Here is a 20621-nt window from a genome sequence, read left to right on the forward strand (position 1 = left end):
GGTTAATAGTTTTATTGAGTTATAATCAGGGAGCAAAATGTACATTAAATGATTCAATTTGAGAATGTTGTTTGAAAAGCCTTTATGACTTATTATACAGACATGAAGAAAATAGGTATCCTTTACTTCTCATGAACAAGATCGATCTATCTATCTATCTGTCTGTCTATCTGTCTATCTATCTATCATCTCCCTCTCTACCTTCATACCTACCTATCTTTTGGACACTCAAAAAGATAGGATCTTTTGACTGTGCTGTGGACACAGTCACAATTATAGATTAAAAGCTCAATTTGTGGCTGGGTGCAGTGGCTCATGCCTGTAATCCCAGCACTTTGGGAGGCCAAGGCAGGTGGATCACAAGGTCAGGAGTTCGAGACCAGCCTGTCCAACATGGTGAAACCCCGTCTCTACCAAAAATACAAAAATTAGCCAGTTGTGGTGGTAGACACCTGTAATCCCAGCTACTCGGGAGGCTGAGGCAGGAGAATCGCTTGAACCTGGGAGGCAGAGGTTGCAGTGAGCCAAAATCACGCCACTGCACTCCAGCCTGGGTGACAGAGAGAGACTCTGTCTCAAAAAAAAAAAAAAAGCTCAATATATAAATATAATTCATCATACATTCAATACGTTTTATTTATTAATATAAATAAAATTTTTACTTTTTCTGTTCAATTCTTGTATTTCTACTATTTTAAAGCATTACCTAATCATCTCAGTTTATTTTTTGTTCAACTCTTCTATTACTTTAATAATTAATTAACTGCTTTATCAGTCTCTGAGAAAGTTGTGGGAAAATGTCTCACTGTCATTGTGGACTTGCTAGTTTCTCCTTTTAATTATTACCATTATTTTAGGTATTTCTAGTAGTGATTTTAGTAGACTTTTAGTGGACTTTTTTGCTATTAAACATTACTTTTTACTTCTATAATCATGCAAAGGAGGGATTACTAAAATCAAAAAGGGAATACTTCTGTAAAATTTACATTTTACTGAAGTAGACAGAAAATAAATAATTAAAACTGATTATTTTGTAATATTGGGGTTGATATTGTATATAAGAAAAAACAAAGCTAGATAAAACAATAGTCTGTAATGGCAAGACTCTTAGAGGAGGTGACTTTAGAACAGAGTCCTGAGGGTGCCCAATTGATCAAATAAATCATGTCACAGTGTTCCAGGAAGTAACTGCAAAGGTCTAGAGAGGGAACCCTACAAGCAATGTTCAAGAATTAGAAACAAGGCTATAATCCTAGCACTTTGGGAAGCCAAGGCAGGTGGATCACATGAGCCCAGGAGTTTGAGACAGCCTGGACCACATAGTGAGACCTCATCTATAAAAAAAGACCAAAAGTAGCCAGGTGTCATGACATGCACCTGTAGCCTTAGCTACTCAGGGGACCAAGATGGGAGGATCACTTGAGCCCAGGAGGTAGAGGTTGCAGTGCACCGAGATCCTGTCACCGTCTTGACTAATGTAAACAATGGGGACAGTGGGATAAACCTGTGAGAGGGAAGAGGCAAGACATGCAGGGATTAAATTTTGGTTTTATTCAATTTGGTACTGAAAGCTACCAGTCCAGGTTTAAATCTTCTCTAGTAGATTTATGTGTGTGACTAGGTGTGCTTTTTCCATTCTTTATGTTAACATAGCCTAAGTCATTTTGCTTTACATGTCTCTTCTGAAGAGCACCTTGCTGTATATTGTTGTTGTTGTTGTTATCTAACCTGTGATGGCCCATTTTTTAAAAATAAGGAAACAGAACCGTGATGGACAAGGTATTCCCTGGACTCAGTTGTGTGAGCTTCAGCAAATTTATTTAAATTATCTAGGCTGTAGTTTCCTCTTGTATTAAATAAGAATCAGTATAGTACTTATATGAAGGGTTTGCTAGGAGAAGTAAAATATTTACTACATGTAAAGCCTTTAGAATAGTGACTAGTTTGTGGAAACTGCTAAGTAACTGTTAGCATGTATGATTAAGTGGATTTATTTCATTCACACTTATTGTAATTACAAAATTCTTGCCCCATTCCACAAGCTCACACAATTATTTGTCATATCTTATTTCGAGTTTTATTTTGCTTTGCTAATTTTATTTTAGCTTTATCTTAGATTAATAGATGTAACTATTTTATTTCCCTTTACTCACTCAGAAGCTACATATTGTATTTCCGTTCCATTTGTGGTTACCTAATAAAAAATTTCTTGAAATTCTACTGTTAGAAATAAGAAAAGAGTGTGAGGTGTTTATGAACTACAAGTGTAATGAAAATGTATAAGCAAAATCTTAGTGTCACAGCACTCTTATCTCTACACTAGTAACTATTAGTAGTTAGTACACTCAATTATTGTCTCACTCATCCTGATATAATAACCTCTTGTGACATGGACTACTAAAAATAATTCTTAAAACAAGAATTGGGAGAAGTCACAATAAGATATTCTTTTAATCACTGGCTTGAGATGTTTAAGTCAGTGGCTTAATGATTTGAAATATGCTTTAAGAGTAAATTAATCCCCTTTGCTTCCTGTGTTAAAAAATTGAAGTTGTAGACTCTGTATATTCTAACTTTGCCCGGAAGAACACATGTCCACAGTATTCTTTAAGGGAGGACACCTGGTCCAAGGAAGTATGCTATTTTGAGACAATGGATAAAACTGAATATTTGTTTTGTTCTCCATAGGATTTACCAGTTGCAACTTTTTTTAAGGTTCTAGTGTTGTCTGCTTTAGTTCATTGTCCTAAATGAATGGGGTAAATACACTGGAATACCCTGTTTCCTCTAGTGCTGAGGATCCTCCATGTAACTCTAGTTCCAAAAAGAAGAATGTCCAAAATCACTATTGTTAATTTTAGCCCAAAGCTTCATTTATTAAAGATAATAGTTTGCAAGTCAGAGAAACCCATTGAAACTATCTTAAATAAAAGAAAATAATGTTTTTGATGGGAATACAGGGAGAGTACATGAAACCAAAGGAGAGATAACTTACCATTATTTATTTTTGCTTCTCTCTCACCATCTGCTTCATTCTTCTCTGACTCCATGGACTGACTTTCTCTGTTTTTAAAATTATATGATGACATTTCCAGGCATTTACAGATTCTTTCTTCAAAAGGTAAGCACATATTGAAACTGAAATCTTTTAGTAATAATTCTAAATTCCCAGGGAATGGCCATAGGTGCTATCTCATTGTGGTTTTGATTTGCATTTATGTGATGATTAATGATGTCAAGCATGTTTTCATACACCTATTGGTCATTTGTATGTATTCTTTTCAGAAAAGCCTGCTCAGGTCCTTTGCCCGTTTTCAAAACAGGTAATTTATTATCTTGCTATTGAGTTGTTTGAGTTCCTTATATAGTTAGTATATTAACCCCTTATTCAGATGTATGGTTAGCAAGTATTTTTTCCCATTCTGTAGGTTGTTCCTTTACTTTGTTGATAGGTTCCTTTGTGGTGCAAAAGATTTTTGGTTTGATTTAATTTATCTATTTTTTTTATTTTTGCCTGCCATATTGTGTTCATCAATGGATGAATGAGTTTAAAAAATGTATTATATATACAAAATTGAACACTATTCAGCCTTTAAAAAAGAAGAGAATCTTGTGGCAACATGGATGAACTTGGAGCACATCGTTAAGTGAAATAATCCAGGCACAGAAAGGCAAATACCTAATGATTTGAGTTTATGTGGAATCTAAAAAGGTCAAACTCATAGAAGCCAACAGTCAAACAATAATTACATGAGTCTGGGGGCTGGGGTGCAGGTATTGGGAAGATGTTGGTCAAAGTATTCAAAATATCAGTTTGACTAGAGAAATAAGTTCAAGAGATTTGTACAACATAGTAACTTACAGCTAATAGCAATGGATTGTATACTTAGACATTGCTTACAAAGTAGATTTCAAGCATTCTCACTACAAAAAAACAATGGTAAGTATGTGAGGTAATGCATATGTTAATTAACTTGATTTAGCCACTTTGCAATGTATACATATATCAAAATGTTATGCTGTACACCATAAATATATACAAATTTAATTTTCCAATTAAAAAAGAAAAAACACTTACCTGAGAGGCTGGCTGAGACAGAAGAATCTCTTGAACCCGGGAGGTGGAGGTTGCAGTGAGCTGAGATCTTGCCACTGCACTCATCACCTCTCAGGAAAATAAGAGTTAAAACTTATTTTCCCATTAGTTTATCTTACTAACCAACCTAAAATTTCTCTGTTTCATTTTCTGGATTATTCATTGATTTTATCAAAACACCACCATTATAATTCACAACTATAATTCTTCCTGAGACCTATGGTGGTAAATAAACTGTTGCCAGGATCTGAATGTGTCCCTCTTAAATTTATGTATTGAAACTTAATTGCCAATATAATAATAATAGGAGGTGAGACATTTAGGAAGTAATTAAGTCATGAAGGGGAGGTCCTCATGCCTAGAATTAGGGCTGTTATAAAAGAGCTTGAGGACATGTGTTCTCTCTTCTGGCTTTTTCATCATGTAAAGACAGTATGTTTTTTCTTTTGCCCTTTTTACCCCTTCTGCCATGCAAAAGATGCAGTAGGAAGACCCTCATGGAAAACGTAATGGTGGCACCTTGATTTTGGACTTTTCAGCCTCCAGAATGGTGAGAAATAAATTCTGATTGCTTCTAAGTCATCACTATCTGGTATTTTTTTTTGTAGCACCAGAAGGATTAAATGAGTAATTGGTACTAGGAGTGGAGTGCTACAATAACAAATTCTTGAAAATGTGGAAGCAATTTTGGAACTGGGTAATAGCAGGGCAGGAACAGTTTTGAAGTGCATGCTGCAAATCACCTAGATTGCCAGGAATGGAAAGTAAAAAGCAATTCTGGTCAAGGCTCAGAAGAGAAAACTATAGAGAGATTCTTGGTCTTCTTAGAGATTATCTAAGTAGCCATGATCAGCAGTCTAGTGAGGTCTTAGATGGAAATAAGGCAATTCTGATGAGTTCTTAGATGGAAATAAGAAATATCTTCTTGGAAACAGGAGGAAAGGTCATCCTGGTTACAAAGTGGTAAAGAACTTAGCTGAATTGTGTCTGTTTGCTTGTATGTTGTGGAAGGCAGACTTTCAGAGCAATCAATGAAGTGTATATTTGGTGGAAGAAATATCTAAGCAAAACGCTGAAGGTACTGCATGGCTTCTCTTAATTACTTACAGTAAAATTAAAAAGAGAGAGAAACAAATTAAAGGCATAATTTATTATTGAAAAGGAAGCAGACTTTAAGATTTGGAAATTCTCAGCCTGGCTGTGTAAAGAATAATAAAGCATATTTGTTAGAGAATACCAAAGTGTGGCCAAGCAAGCGTTTGATAAAGACAATGGTATAGATAGAAGGAAGCAAGATTCTATCCAACAGGATAATGAAAGAATGACCCTGAAAGCATTTTGAAGATCATTGAGGCTGTTCCTCCTATCACTGGCTCAGAGTACCAGAAGCTTGAAGGAAGAACAATTTCAAGCGAGGGGCCAAGGATGTCCATGGGACGCCAGGGTTCTCTGTCCAGGACTGCCTCAAGTTTCTGCTCCACACATTCTAACACAGCTCTCCTTAACTGCGCTACGCGGGGCTTGGGCCATCACTCCATAGGGCACAAGTGGAAACCTGGGTGGCATCCATATGGTGTTAACTCTGCAGATGCACACAGTACACAAGCTGTGGCAACATGGTTACTTCCACCTAGATTTCAAAGAATGTTTCAGAGAGTCTCGGGAACCAGGAGGAGGAGTGTTATGGGGCAGAGCTGCTGCAGAGATTCCCTAATAGCTATGGAAATGCCAAGTGGAGCTGTGAAAGTGGGACCACTGCAAAGAGTCCATACCAAGACAATCCATACCAAGACAAAGAGTCCATACCAAGAGCTGTGAGACTGGAACCATGAGAGAGCCCTCACTGGGCAATGTTTAATGGGGACATGAGGGCAGAATCACTCTTGAGACCTTAGATATGTAGAGCCATTAGCATGCAATGCCAGTCTCAGAGAACTTTAGGTGCCTGACAGCAATTGCTGATAGCTCTTGTGTGAACCACATCCCAGAAAGCCATAGGGTGGGGCTTTCCAGGGCCTTGGAGGTTCAACCTCCACAACAGTATGTTTCAAAGTCAGAACAAGGAGTAGAAGATTACTTTTACCACTTTAATATTTAATATTGTTTGCCCTATTGAGTTTAGGGCTTACTTTGGAACTGTTACTACTTTTTTCTTTCCTCCTACTTTCTTTTGAAATGTGAACGTCTATTTTCTGCCTTTCCACCATTGTATTTTGGAAGCACATAATTTGTTTTATCTTGCATGTTCACAGCTAGAGAGCAATTTTCTTCAGATAAAGTTTAACTTGAGTCTATCCATATCTGATTTAGTTGAGACTCTAGACTTCAGACTCTTGAGTTGGTGCTGGAATGAGTTAAGACTGTTGGGGCTGTTGGGATAGAATAAATATATTTTGCATGTTAAAAGGATATGAATTTGTTGAGGACAGGGTGAAATACTATGGGTAGATATAGTTTAAATGTGTCCCCTCAAATTTATGGTGAGCCTCAATCACCACTATAATGGTATTAAGAGGTGAGGCCTTTAGCAGGTGAAAAAGTGATGAGGGCAGAGCCCTCATGGTTAGAATTATAAGCCCTTATAAAAGGGCTTGAGGGAGTGGGTTTTTCTCTTTTCTGCTTCTCTGCCATGTGAGGACACAGTGTTTTTTCCCTTTTGACTGTTTTACCCCTTCAGCCATGTAAGAAAGGCCCTCATCAGACACTCAATTCTAGTACATCAATCTTGAACTTCCCAGCCTTCAGAACTGCAAATAATAAATTTCTACTGTTTAGATTATTACCCAGTCTCAAGTATTTTATTATAGCAGCATGAATTGACTAAGATACCCATAGATAAGAGTGGGAGATTACTAAACATTATAGTTTCCCATTAAAATATTTGAAAATGATTTTGAAAATAATTTAATAAAAAAGAACTAACTCTCCTTTTAACATTTATCTTATGTGTACAACTGAAAGTTTAGAGGGTGAAGAAGACATATTGCTCACAAAACTGTAAATTTTTACATATATTTAAAGAAGTTAAAGTGAAATAAAGAAGCTAAAAACTTTCCCAAGACTTAACATCTATCATTAAGGACAATATTTTAAATTACGTGTAATGGACTCTTCTCTATAGTTAGAAAATTGAATATTTGTGGCCAGGTGCAGTGGCTCACACCTGTATTCCCAACACTTTGGGAGACTGAAGTGGGCAGATCACCTGAGGTCAGGAGTTGAAGACCAGCCAGATCAACATGCAGAAAACCCGTCTCTACAAAAATACAAAATTAGCCAGGCATGGTGGTGCATGCCTGTAATCTGAGCTACTCGAGAGGCTGAAGCAGGATAATTGCTTGAACCCGGGAGGCGGAGGTTGCGGTGAACTGAGATCACGCCATTGCACTCTAGCCTGAGCAACAAGGGTAAAACTCCAGAAAAAAAGAAAGAAAGAAAGAAAGAAAGAAAGAAAGAAAGAAAGAAAGAAAGAAAGAAAGAAAGAAAGAAAGAAAGAAAGAAAATTGAAATAATTATTTTTTCAAGACTACAACAGCAATAATGGCAAAACTTAATTTTACCACGCAAGCCTGGTCTCCACCGCTACTTTGTCATTTTCACACACACTCATCATGTAGCTTTCCTGCTACTCTTTTATAGGTGGATTCAAAGTTTTTTGTTTGTTCTCATATCTCAATATAATGTATTTATTGGTAGCAACATACATTGTTTCTACTAACTAACTTGGCATTGGATGAGATGGCAACACTGTTAATATTTACAGTGACAGAGCTCTGGATATTTTTGGTTTAGAGCAATTTGGTTGAAATCAAGTTGACCAACAACAACAAAAAAAATACATATTTGAAATGACAATTAGAACATTACCCCCAAACTGTCTACTTTTAGATATTTAGTTTTGTTCAAATTCTCCTAAGTGTTGAACATCTAACTCCTTAATAGTATCCAAAGCCATCTCTGCAATTAGAAATAATTAATTATAAATTTACAGTTTTAAAGTAAATAAAAAGGCTGAAACATTCATAAATACTTGCAACTCCACATCTGGTTTGTCTACAAATGATGACTTAAGCCCAAGTTTTCTATAAATTAAAATACTCTCAACAAAATGGCATATAGCTCTATCATTCAGATTATTTCACTAGCTACTATGAATGTTGTACTATAATTTATTTTGAGATAAAAATATCTATTTTCCCTACTTATGAAGTAAATTGATATTGATAAAGATGTTATGATTCCTTATTAATAAACTAGGCATGAATTCAATGAGTTTGTTGCTGAGAAATAAAAACAGACACATAACTATTTCCATCACAATAATACTTTTAAACTGTTCATGTAGTCTAGGTTTAAAATTGAGGATGCCCAATGCTTTTTAAGAGGAATGATAGAGGGGATATTTTGTAACTAAAAACAGACAAATTTCTTCTTCCAAACATGAGGAAGTATTTTCTTAGAAAGAAATTCCTCTTACAGAAGCCAAAGGAACATTTTCATGTTTTCACCTGAAATACTTTTCCCATTTCTCTTGTGGAAATTCCATAGTTCTTGGAAAGTAAAGAAACGTCTTTAAACCATTGCTTATCTGAGCTTTTATATAATTCCTTTCCATTTTATTGGAAAATGAGTTTAACCTTCAGACATTCCAATAATTTATCTATATTTTATGACCAGCTGCTTCAAGAAATGCGTAAGATTTATTCCAAGAGCTATGGTCAGTCACCAAGGCAGCACGTAGTAATTGAGTATTAAGTGCATAGACATAGCTATTTTAGGCATCGGCTTCATAGTAGATAACTTATATTTTAGGATCAAGTAAAAATATTCTCTCTGACTTTATATTCCCATTTTTAATTTCTTAGGAAAATAACAATGTTATCAAAATGCATATGACTATATATTTAGTGAGATTGGTGGTAATTATGATGTGACTAAAAACATCTTTCCTGAAACACTGGCTGTTTAATGTTGACAGCATTCCTGGTGGATTTTACAGTTAAGTCATTGTTTAATAAACATGTTTAAGAGGCTCAGCTAAATAGGAGTAAACTAACTGCTCATGAATATATATTAACAGTTTTAATTCTTCTTCCAAATTACTTTTAGTCTTCCAATGAAAAATTACAAGAGTTTAAAAGTTAGTAAATTTTTTTTATAAAAACACGTAAGTCTTGTATTTTTCAACCTTTATTGGAAATCCAGGCTTTTGTTTTGAAGAAAGAAGCTTCAGCCCAGGCTGTGACCCCATTCGTGCATTAAGATGGCAATAGCAGGGCTCAGAAGCACATACTCACTGATTCCTTCTGGTCTCATTAATGGGTAAGGAATATGTATGTCATAAACTCAGTTGGGGTACATCAGCAACACTACATTAAGCAGCATATACAATTTGCACATTTATGGACTGATATGCTTAGCATTTATGAAGACTCATTTTTCTATTGCCTGAAAAGAAACAATACTAATAGTGTGTGCAATTAAGAGCTCACAAGAATAATGGAAAAATTAGTGACCTGTAACCACTTTTAGTACAATGTGCTGCCATGAAAGTATAATGAATTTCTCTCTATTCTTTTTGCTGAGCATCAATACAGATAAATAATCTACAATACTTCATGAATAACCCAAGAGATGATGAAAGGATATTGGCCAAGTTACTCCCTAAATATGCAGATTTACTTCTCTGTACATCTGTCTATTACCTACTTACTCCTCTTGATAAGTCAATTCAATTCTAAAAACATTTATTAACACTTTTCTTCTCTGATGAGTGATGTATAAATAAAAAGGAATTCTTTCTCTACAGTAATAATAAAGCATACTAAATAAAAGGGACACATAAATGAAAAAGTTTAATAGTTCTATAGGGAAGTATAGTGTTAAGAAGCAAAATGAGTGATGAAAATAACATTTAAAGAATTCAAAGAAATATGCAATCAGAAAGTGACATAGAAAATGGAGAATCTTTACAATGGAGTAATAGCTTGTATTACACCAGTATATGGATAGGAAAGTGATATGTGTGTGTGAGAGAGAGATAGAGAGAACAGATGGCAAATGACTAAATGTAAGGAAGGTCAGGTTTCCTGGTCTCACTCTGCGGTTGCTTTATGTCCTAGTTTAGATGAATGAAAGTTTTTCAGAAACAAAAAAATAAGTAGATCTCATTACTCTAAGCAAAGGAGAAGAAAAAAACAGAAAGAATAAGTATTTTTGGGTTAGAGTAATACCTGGGTCAATCTTCAAATCATAGGGAACAGTACAGACACCAACGTTCTCTTTTACAGTTTATGGAAAACATTCACCAAGAAAGTGTCAGCCTGGTAACAGTACAAGTTTTCTTGTCTCTACAAATACCATTACCCACTTAACTTCTTAGATCAAATACCTCTTTATTCTCCGAAGAAGACGCAGTTCTAAAGTAATCATAAAATTGTAAGGGCATACATTTTCAACTCCTAATTATTAGAACAAGTTCCATGGCCACAACTGGGCATTGTTTTATGTAGTGATTGCTTATGTTAATAAGTTAATTCTCTCCCATGGCTACCATTTCCTGTCCTGCATGCTCTGTGCACTTCCCTTGTTTTCACTTTAACCACTCCCTGATCTGGTCCTGACCGTCAGTCTTTTTGTTTTTGAGACGGAGTCTTGCTCTATCACCCAGGCTGGAGTGCAGTGGCATGATCTCAGCTCACTGCAACCTCCACCTCCCGGGTTCACGTCTTTCTCCAGCCTCAGCCTCCTAAGTAGCTGGGACCACAGGCGCCCGCCACCATGCCTAATTTTTTGTATTTTTAGTAGAGATGAGGTTTCACCGTGTCAGCCAGGATGGTCTCGATCTCCTGACCTCGTGATACTCCTGCCTGGGCCTCCCAAAGTGCTGGGACTACAGGCATGAGCCACCGTGCTCAGCCCGTCAGTTTCATGATGCATGTATTTTCTTTGGATTTATGAGTTCCCTCCTAGTTTTATATTCTTCTTTAATTAAGCAAAAATTGCTGTACTATTTTATTAATTAGTCTTGTGAGCTTTCTCAAGTTCTTTCATCTTTTGATTTTTCATATCTATAATCCTGGATCAATCTATTCAGTATCTCCATATCTACACACGCAGATACATGTGAGATTCAATTTCAAATGGACCCTCAGTATCTGTATTTTTATTCTGTTTTTTGTTACCTCAGTTTTTTTTATACAAAGCTTACTTGATTTTAAATACCTTGCTATACCATTAGATCATTTATTTCCAACAACTAACATTATCTCCTACAGCATACAGAACAGTGAAATCATCAGGTAGGAGAATCCTCAGCTTAATGACCTGAGACCTATAGTTATCTATTAAATGCCTATTTTTACCTCTGTCCTTATTTATCAGGAATTGTGCTGCCTTCAATTATCTTTTATTCTAATTCCTTCTTCCTAGCTTTTTGCTTATCTTGATCTATCAATTGTTTTCTATATTTTTAGAAGATTGTACTCTGAAAGCACCTTTTCTTCAACCTATTTATCTATTTATTTCTTTTCTATTTATTTTAGATACTACATTCACTACACAAGAGATTGAACTTTTTTCTGAAATGTCTACATAAACTTTTGAAAACTACATAATTCCCATGTGATGTATTAGCCAAAAGGGACCATAACTGAGATAGTAAAATGGTGATATTAACAAAGAAAACCAGAAATGTTAGAGAAAATGAGATACAAGTGATGGCAGCGGCAGCCCATCAGTGGCCGCGGCTGCAAAGATGTAGGCTGCAGCAGGGGAGGTGTGTCCAAGGCTGCATGGCCCATGGAGCCCATGGGCGTCCTGCCCCCTACCAAGTCAGAGAGGCAGGAGCCCCAGGCTCCCAGGCACAGCTGCAGCTGCCCATTTGTGGCACTGCACCCAAGCTTCCCTGCACTATCGGGAGCCCAGGAAGCCTGCCCTGCCCCCCACAGGCTCGGAAGTGCTCCCTCCTGCTCCCTGGCCTCCCCTGGCTCCAGGAGCCTGCTCCAGTGAGAAGCAAAGCTGTAGCCAAGTCCAGGTGCCATCATGACCTGATCAAGTGTGCACATGCTCAGGGTGGCACTGACATGCCAGACCCCTGCTGTCTCAGCCCCCTCCAGACTTTGGGCACCAATGAGCAAGGGAGGAAGGATGGGGAAGAGGCTGAGGGCAGCTCGACAAGGGTCTGCAAGCACCCCTTGGCAAGAAAAGCCTGGGTGCCATGGGCGGCATGTTGATGGTGGGAGGCAGACAGGTTCCTGGGCAGTTGAGGAATTAATAGCCTACCAACCAAAAAAAAAAAAAAAAAAAAAAGCCCAGCACCAGAAGGATTCACAGTGGAAATCTACCATAGGTACAAAGAGGAGCTGTACCATTCCTTCCAAAAGTGTTCCAAACAACAGAAAAAGAGGGACTCCTCCCTAACTCATTTTATGAGGCCAGCATCATCCTGATACCAAAATCTGACATAGACACAAGAAATAAAGAAAATTTCAGGCCAATATCCCTGATGAACATCAGTGGGAAAATCCTCAATAAAATACTGGCAAACCAAATCCAGCAGCACATCCAAAAGCTTATCCACCATGATCAAGTGGGCTTCATCCCTGGGATGCAAGGCTGGTTTAACATACATGAATCAATAAACATAATCCATCACATAAACAGAACCAATCACAAAAACCACATGATTATCTCAATAGATGTAGTAAAGTCCTTTGACAAAATTCAACAGCTGTGCATGCTAAAAACTTTCAGTAAATTAGGTATTGATGGGACATATCTCAAAATAGTAAGAGCTATCTATGACAAACCCACAGCCAATATCATACTCAATGGGCAAAAACTGGAAGCATTCCCTTTGAAAACTGGCACAAGACAGGGATGTCCTCTCTCACCACTCCTATTCAACACAGTGTTGGAAGTTCTGGCCAGGGCAATCAGGCAGGAGAAGGAAATAAAGGGTATTCAATTAGGAAAAGAGGAAGTCAAATTGTCCCTGTTTGCAGATGACATGATTGTATATCTAGAAAACCCCATCGTCTCAGCCCAAAATCTCCTTAGGCTGATAAGCAACTTCAGCAAAGTCTCAGGATACAAAATCAATGTGCAAAAATCACAAGCATTCCTATACACTAATAATAGACAGAGGGCCAAATCATGAGTGAACTCCCATTCAGAATTGCCACAAAAGAATAAAATATCTAGGAATCCAACTTACAAGGGTTGTGAAGGACCTCTTCAAGGAGAACTACAAACCACTCCTCAAGGAAATAAAAGATAGGACACAAAGAAATGGAAAAACATTTCATACTCATGTATAGGAAGAATCAATATTGTGAAAATGGCCATACTGCCCAAAGTAATTTATAGATTCAATGTTATTTGTTTCTTGTAAACAAATTTACAAGAAAAAAAACAACCTCATCAAAAAGTGGGCAAAACATATGAACTTACACTTCTCAAAAGAAGACATTTAGGCAGACCACAAACATATGAAAAAAAGCTCATCATCACCGGTCATTAGAGAAATGCTAATTTTTGTATTTTTAGTACAACAAACCACAATGAGATACCATCTCAGGCCAGTTAGAATGGTGATCATTAAAAAGTCAGGAAACAACAGATGCTGGAGAGGATGTGGAGAAATAGGAACGCTTTTACACTGTTGGTAGGAGTGTAAATTAGTTCAACCATTGTGCAAGACAGTGTGACAATTCCTCAAGGATCTAGAATTAGAAATACCATTTGACCCAGTAATCTCATTACTGGGTATATACCCAAAGGATTATAAATCATTGTACTATAAAGACACATGCACATGCATGGTTGTTGCAGCACTATTCACAATAGCAAAGACTTGGAACCAACCCAAATGCCCATCAATGATCAACTGGATAAAGAAAATGTGGCACATATACACCATGGAATACTATCCAGCCATAAAAAAAAGATGATTTCATGTCCTTTTCAGGGACATGGATGAAGCTGGAAACCATCACTCAGCAAACTAACACAGAAACAGAAAACCAAACACCGAACGTTCTCACTCATATGTAGGAGTTGAACAATGAGAACACATGGACCCAGGGAGGGGAACATCACACAATGGGGCCTGTCAGGGGATGGGGGGCTTGGGGAGGGATACCATTAGGAGAAATACCTAATGTAGATGACAGGTTTATGGGTGCAGCAAACCATCATGGCACATGTATACTTATATAACAAACCTGCACGTTCTGCATATGTATCCCAGAACTGAAAGTATAATAATAAAAATAAAGTGAATATCCAAGGTATAGGTATATTTAAAATGCCTTTAGGTCTTTTTCCCTTCATGGATCTTGTTGTTCTGAAAGAAGGGTTTTGTTTTATTCTCAGTCAACAGAATTACTTTTTTCTATTTTTGTCGCCACTCTTAATGCACACGTGAGGGGCCCTAAGGTAACTTCTGATGGCCTGGGACTACTTGGAAAAACAGAGGAGGCATCAGTGACCTTGTTTTGGGAGAAAACTCCTCTTTTCCTCATGGAACATCAGTAATCAGAGGCAGATTGTTCCCTCTCAAAATCTGTTTTTGTCTTTCAGCTATGCCTGTTGATTAGGCTCTAGAAACTGCATGTTTTCCTAGCCCTGTTTCTTGAAGGGCTCCACTCTGAGGCCAGTAATCCAATTTGGAGATTGGCAAATGAAAAATCTTACAACTAGTGGATCTTCTTCTGTCTATGTTATGTGTTTGATGTTTATATGAAATATATATCTAATTGATTAGCTTAAAGAAAAATAAGCACTTAGATAAAATATTTTAAAAAAATAAAGCTATAATGCCCCTTAGTTGATGTGACTTTAATCTTTGAGAAATAAAAACAGTTTTAAAAATTATTGGTAAAATAATAATGTCTTCAAAATATAGACATGTGGTCTAAATTATGCAGTTCACAAACTAGGTTCTAAATGCTTTAAGGTCATAAACTGCTTCTTTGGCTTTTTTTTTTTTTTTAATTAAGACAAAGTGTTGCTCTGTCACCCAGGCGGTAGTACAGCAGCACAATCTTGACTCACTGCAACCTCCCCTGCCTGGGTTCAAGAGAGTCTCATGCCTCAGCCTCCTGAGTAGATGGGACTACAGGAGTGCACAACCTTGCCCGGCTAATTTTTGTGTTTTTACTAGAGATGGGGTTTCACCATGTTGGCCAGGCTGGTTTTGAACTCCTGACCTCAGGTGATCCACCCACCTCGGTCTCCCAAAGTTCTGGGATTACAGGCGTGAGCCATAATTCTGGCCTTCTTTGGCTTTTGAAAATTGTTTAACTAACCTTCTTAACAATTTGTCAAGGCCTGGGGACATACAAAGGCAACCACCCCCTAACTATGCTGGAAAGAGTCAGACCTTATCTGCACCTAGTACCTAATTAAAATATCTTACCAGGTTTTACGCCAAATTAAAATTTGCTAAGAGTTACCATTATAATATGTAACTGAGACCAATGAAAACAGATTTACATGCATGGTGTGTAAAAAAAGTAAAAATTTTTTAGTAAAAGTTTATAGGGCAGCATGGGGATGTATATTTTTGCCTAGTTTAGAGGGTTAAATGATTGTTTTAAATTAGTAATAATAAAGTTAAAAGTTTTAAGTTGTGGAAGGTTTGTAAAAGTTAATCCTGTAAAAGCAATTCTTGTGTGAACATATTGAGTAAATTCAAAAGGAAATTATTTGGTTTTTCTGTAAATTACACATTGGGAAAAAAGCACAAGAAGAATTTCTTCAGGTACTGACCTGCTTCGTAACAAATATTTTCAAAGGGTTATGTAAGTTTTATGAAAATCTCACCTCATGGTCAAACTGGTTAAGATCGGATAGATTTGTCTATAAGGTTTTATTAAAATAAATTTGGCTTGACATCAATAATAGACTAATGTAAAGGAAATTTGGCTCTCCTCTCAAACAAGATTTTCATGTAATGTTAAAAGACAATGAAAGATTTTTGTTAACCTTGTGAATAAACTGCTGAAAAAAGAAGGAAAAGACAAGAGACAGATAATTTGGAAAGCTAAGTCTTTCTGCTTAAAGAGTAAAGTTTTTTGCTTTTTTAAAATTGCTTGAGTCATTATTTTGGTTAATAAATGACTTATCATAACCTGTAATTCTATTATATAATATCAAGTGTTTTAAACATTGAACATATTTGATAGTCTTTCCAAAATCAAATTACAGCTTTAAAATTGTCTTTTAAAACCCCTAGCTTTTGGAAACTACAGAGGACCCTTGGAGTATCCAAAAGAGAAGTAAACAGGATTATTTTACATGTTTAGTCACATGGGTTTGCCAAAATAAAAATAACAGTCTTTTTCAGGTTATATTTTAGTAAATAATATTAATATATGTTCCAAATTTGTATGGGATTTTTAAAATTCTAATGTCTGAGTATATGCTATCAATTATATTAACTTATTGTACGTCACAGACATAACCAAATTTCTTTGTCAATTGTGTTTTTGAAGTGACTACTCAAAGATATTTTGTCATTCACAATTGTCTTCTTTTGATCCTCTTGAAAAGATGGTATATATTAATCTATAGAACTTTGACAAGTGCTCTTAAATGCAGGTTTCTGATATCTTGGGCAATTTTGACATTCGAATAAAGGAAAAATGTTCAGGACTCATGAAGAGCAGAAATGTTCATGAATATCAAGCAGAATAAGAGTTAACTGAATGGACTGAACTAATAGAAAACTGAAGTAATCTTTTCTAATATTTTGCTTAAAACATGGCTGATCTTTTTTGTTAAAGTCAGGAAAACTTTTATTTTGAGCTATTTATAGCTTTTGACAATTGAGTAAGGTATACCTTTGTGAACAAAATTTGGAGCATATTTGTTTCTCTGCCTGGTTTCTTCAGAATTTGGAAACTATATGTGAATATTCTTAACTATGGCAACATAGTTATTTGCATAAGTGTAATAAGAATCCATTTTCTGGGCTGGGTGCAGTGGCTTATGCCTGTAATCCCAGCACTTTGGGAGGCCAAGATGGGCAGATCACAAGGTCAGGAGATTGAGACCATCCTGGCTAACACTGTGAAACCTCATCTCTACTAAAAATACAAAAAAACTTAGCCAGGTGTGGTGGCAGGTGCCTGTAGTCCCAGCTACTCGGGAGGCTGAGGCAGGAGAATGATGTGAACCCAAGAGGCGGAGCTTGCAGTGAGCCGAGATCACACCACTGCACTCCAGCCTGGGTGACAGAGCGAGACTCCATCTCAAAAAAAAAAAAAAAGAATCCATTTTCTTTTGCAACAGGATGCAATTGGAGAAACTGGTTGTTTTACTAAAGTTTAGCCTCAAAGAGTGTGCTTCCTTTTAAGGTATCAAGCTTAACTTGCAGAACCAATAAAAGGTCCTTGGGAAAACTGGCCCCATAGCCTGTGTACACCATTCCCATACCCCACCTGGTCCCTAACCTTTGGTCTGTAAAGAATGTCACTTTCTAACAGGCCCTGGAACCCCAAGTTATCTTGGGACTTTGAGAAGAGAGGAATTTATTCAACTCATAGGTATTTGAGGGGAAAAACTCATTGTAGGGCTAGGCTTTAAAAGGTCTTATCTGAGGTTCCTTTAAGAACAGAGTTCCATCAGAGCCAATTTAAAAAGCCTATATAAAATAATTATTCTTGTTTCACTTTACACAAATAATCAGGCTAAACGTAAGACTAAAATTTAATATTCTGCAAACAAGTCAGTCTTATCATGATTTGTTTTTAACAAACATGAGGACTGGAGAGAGAAAAATTATACTTCAAAACTTATTGCGCACTTGCCATTAAATTCTAATCTCAAAGTATTTGTCTGCATTTTAGACTAACCCTGCTCATTTCTATGAACCAACCAGTGATCTCTGGTTGCAGCTCAGAAAAAACAAAATGGAAGGGTAATGTAAAACTCTGGGCCGGGCTCAGTGGCTCACACTTGTAATCCCAGCACTTTGCGAGGCCGAGGCAGGTGGATCACGAGGTCAGGAGATTGAGACCATCCTGGCTAACACGGTGAAACCCCGTCTCTCCTTAAAATACAAAAAAAATTAGCCAGGAATGGTGGCAGGTGCCTGTAGTTCCAGCTACTTGGGAGGCTGCTGCAGGACAATGGCATGAACCCAGGAGGCAGAGCTTGCAGTGAACTGAGACTGCGCCACTGCACTCCAGCCTAGGCAACAGAGCGAGACTCTGTTTCAAAAGAAATAAACGAACAAACAAACAAAAAACAACTCTTGGTCAGTACTGTAGTTCTGGGCAATTATCCTGCAAATCCTGCCAGGTGATAGGGGTAAATAGGGTGCCTATACTCGAAGGTTTCTTTTTTGAGAAAATAAGAACAAGAGAGCTTACCAAAACCAACCCCCTTGCACCCAAGTCTTAGCAGGCATAACTATAGCCACCAGTTATCTGGGCATGTCAGCAGCCTCAAGATTTTTGAGCTGTCCTTACCCCCTTGTTTCATTTTGATATATGTGTTCTAATAACCCAGTTTGTCTCTTCTTGCCTTCGGGCCATCAAACTCCAAATCATCATGCAAATCCAGCTTCAGACAATAGCTCCCTTTCACTGAGAACCCTTAGATAGGCCTCTGAGAGAAGATCTGACTGCTGCTTTCACCAAGACAATGTCACCTGTCAGCATGAAGCAATTAAGACAGTCATCATCCCTATTCTAACGGCAGTTAGATGTACCTCTTCAGAGTGGAGATCAATGGAAGCAACAACTTATTTAGAGTGGCTGCTGTGAAGACACCAGCTGCAGAATGGGAGTGGGGCAGGAACCACTGGGGAAGGAGCTGCATGCTCCCAGGCACAGCTGCAGCCACCCAGCCACAGCTCCAGATCCTGGAATCCCTGTGATCTTGGGCTCAGGATGCTCCCCCTCCTCCTGCATGCTCAGTAGTGCCTGCTTTCACTCCTTGGCCTCTCCATGCTCCTGGCACTCTCTCCAGTGCAGAACAAAGTAGTAGCCAAGCCCAGGTTCTGTCATGACCTGGCTGGGCGTGCACATGCTTGGGGTAGTGCTGACCACTACAGCCCCCTGCTGCCTTGACCCCCTCTGGGCTTTGAGGACTGATGAGCATGGGAGGTTGGCCAGAGAGGGGGCTGAGGGCCACTCAGCATGGGCCTCCAGGCACCCCTCAGCATGAACAGCCTGAACACTGCAGATGGCATGTTGACGACAGGAGGCAGACAGGTTCCTGGGCAGAAAGGGGCAGGTCCCTGATAAAACCCCACCTTCAAGCCAGGAACAGCCAGAAGCCTGTGGGCCAGGCTTCTCATTCTGGATGGAGTCCATGGCCTGAAGTGAAAACTTATGGTGCTTTTTCCAGGCCTGCCCATGGACCAATCAGCATGTACTTCCTCCCTTCTGAGCCCATAAAAACCCTGTACTCAGCCAGACTCACACACACCTCAGGACAACCAGCTGTGGGAAGGTGCTACCCACTTCAGGTTTCTTCAACTTGTTGGAATGACTTGCCTGTGGGGAAGGAGCTACCCACTACAGGTTCATCACTGCTGAGAGCTGGACATTCATCAAGATGACCTGCCTGTGGGAAGGAGATGCCCACTTTGGGTCTCCTGAGAGCTAGTCTATCACTCAGTGAAGCTGCTGTCTATCTTTCTCACCCTCTCGTGGTCTACATACCTCATTCATCCTGGACGTGGGACAAGAACTTGGGACCCACTGAATGGCAGGACTGAAAGAGATGTAACACAAACAGGGCTGAAACATGACCCCAACTTGCCACACTGTGGGTGATGAGAAGGATAGAAGGGCTGTGACCCTTTGAGGACCCCAGTCCTAGGGAATCCCAGAGCCAAGGCTGTGACATCCTCTTTAGGGCTCTATAGTTTCTGGCATCTCCAGGCTTTCAGGCATGACTGTGTTCCTTGGTGCCCACAGCAGAAGCTGCTTGTGTTACCCGTGATCCAGCCACAGCCTCGCATGGAGTCAGTGCCTGTACTAGTGCTTGTAGCTGCCCACCCCACCCCTGCTGGAACACATGGCTGTGCACAGTGGCTGGACCCCACACCCACTCACATACCCCTCACCACTCTGCACCTGGCTCACCCTTGGCAGGTATCGGATCCAGGCCAGTAGTGCGAGCTGAGCACCGTGGGCTGGGTCAAGTAAATGGAATGAGCCCAGCGAGCCTGAGCAAAACTCAGGCACTAAGATGCCACTGCTACATAGGTTTCCAGGTGAAAAATTGATGCTCTAAGCATCCCGTGACACAAGACCATCAAAATAATTAACTAGCTAAATTTACCTTTGTATTACAAATGATTGAAGTATGAATGAATGCCTGGTCTATCATGGAGAATGCAGAGGGGGATGACAGAATACCCTGAGTCGAATTGCTGCAATGATTACTGAAATAAATTCATGTTACCACATTTTCAGGTAGTTGTTGATTAAATTAAATAATATGCGTAGGGTGACTCATGTATGAATTGGCACCTAGAAATTCTGTGTATAGTAGAAAAGTG

At 38.4% G+C, this 20621-nt stretch overlaps 1 annotated feature.

The window, feature by feature from the left end:
• Nucleotides 18513–19029: an enhancer, noted in NCBI's record as "NANOG hESC enhancer chr1:106662932-106663448 (GRCh37/hg19 assembly coordinates)". NCBI's record gives its function as "activates a minimal SCP1, AML or CMV promoter by ChIP-STARR-seq in naive H9 embryonic stem cells {active_cell/tissue: H9 hESC(naive)}" and the evidence as "EXISTENCE:reporter gene assay evidence [ECO:0000049][PMID:30033119]".

The sequence above is a fragment of the Homo sapiens genome, chromosome 1 (assembly GCF_000001405.40).
Source record: "Homo sapiens chromosome 1, GRCh38.p14 Primary Assembly".
In the NCBI taxonomy this organism is placed as follows: domain Eukaryota; kingdom Metazoa; phylum Chordata; class Mammalia; order Primates; family Hominidae; genus Homo; species Homo sapiens.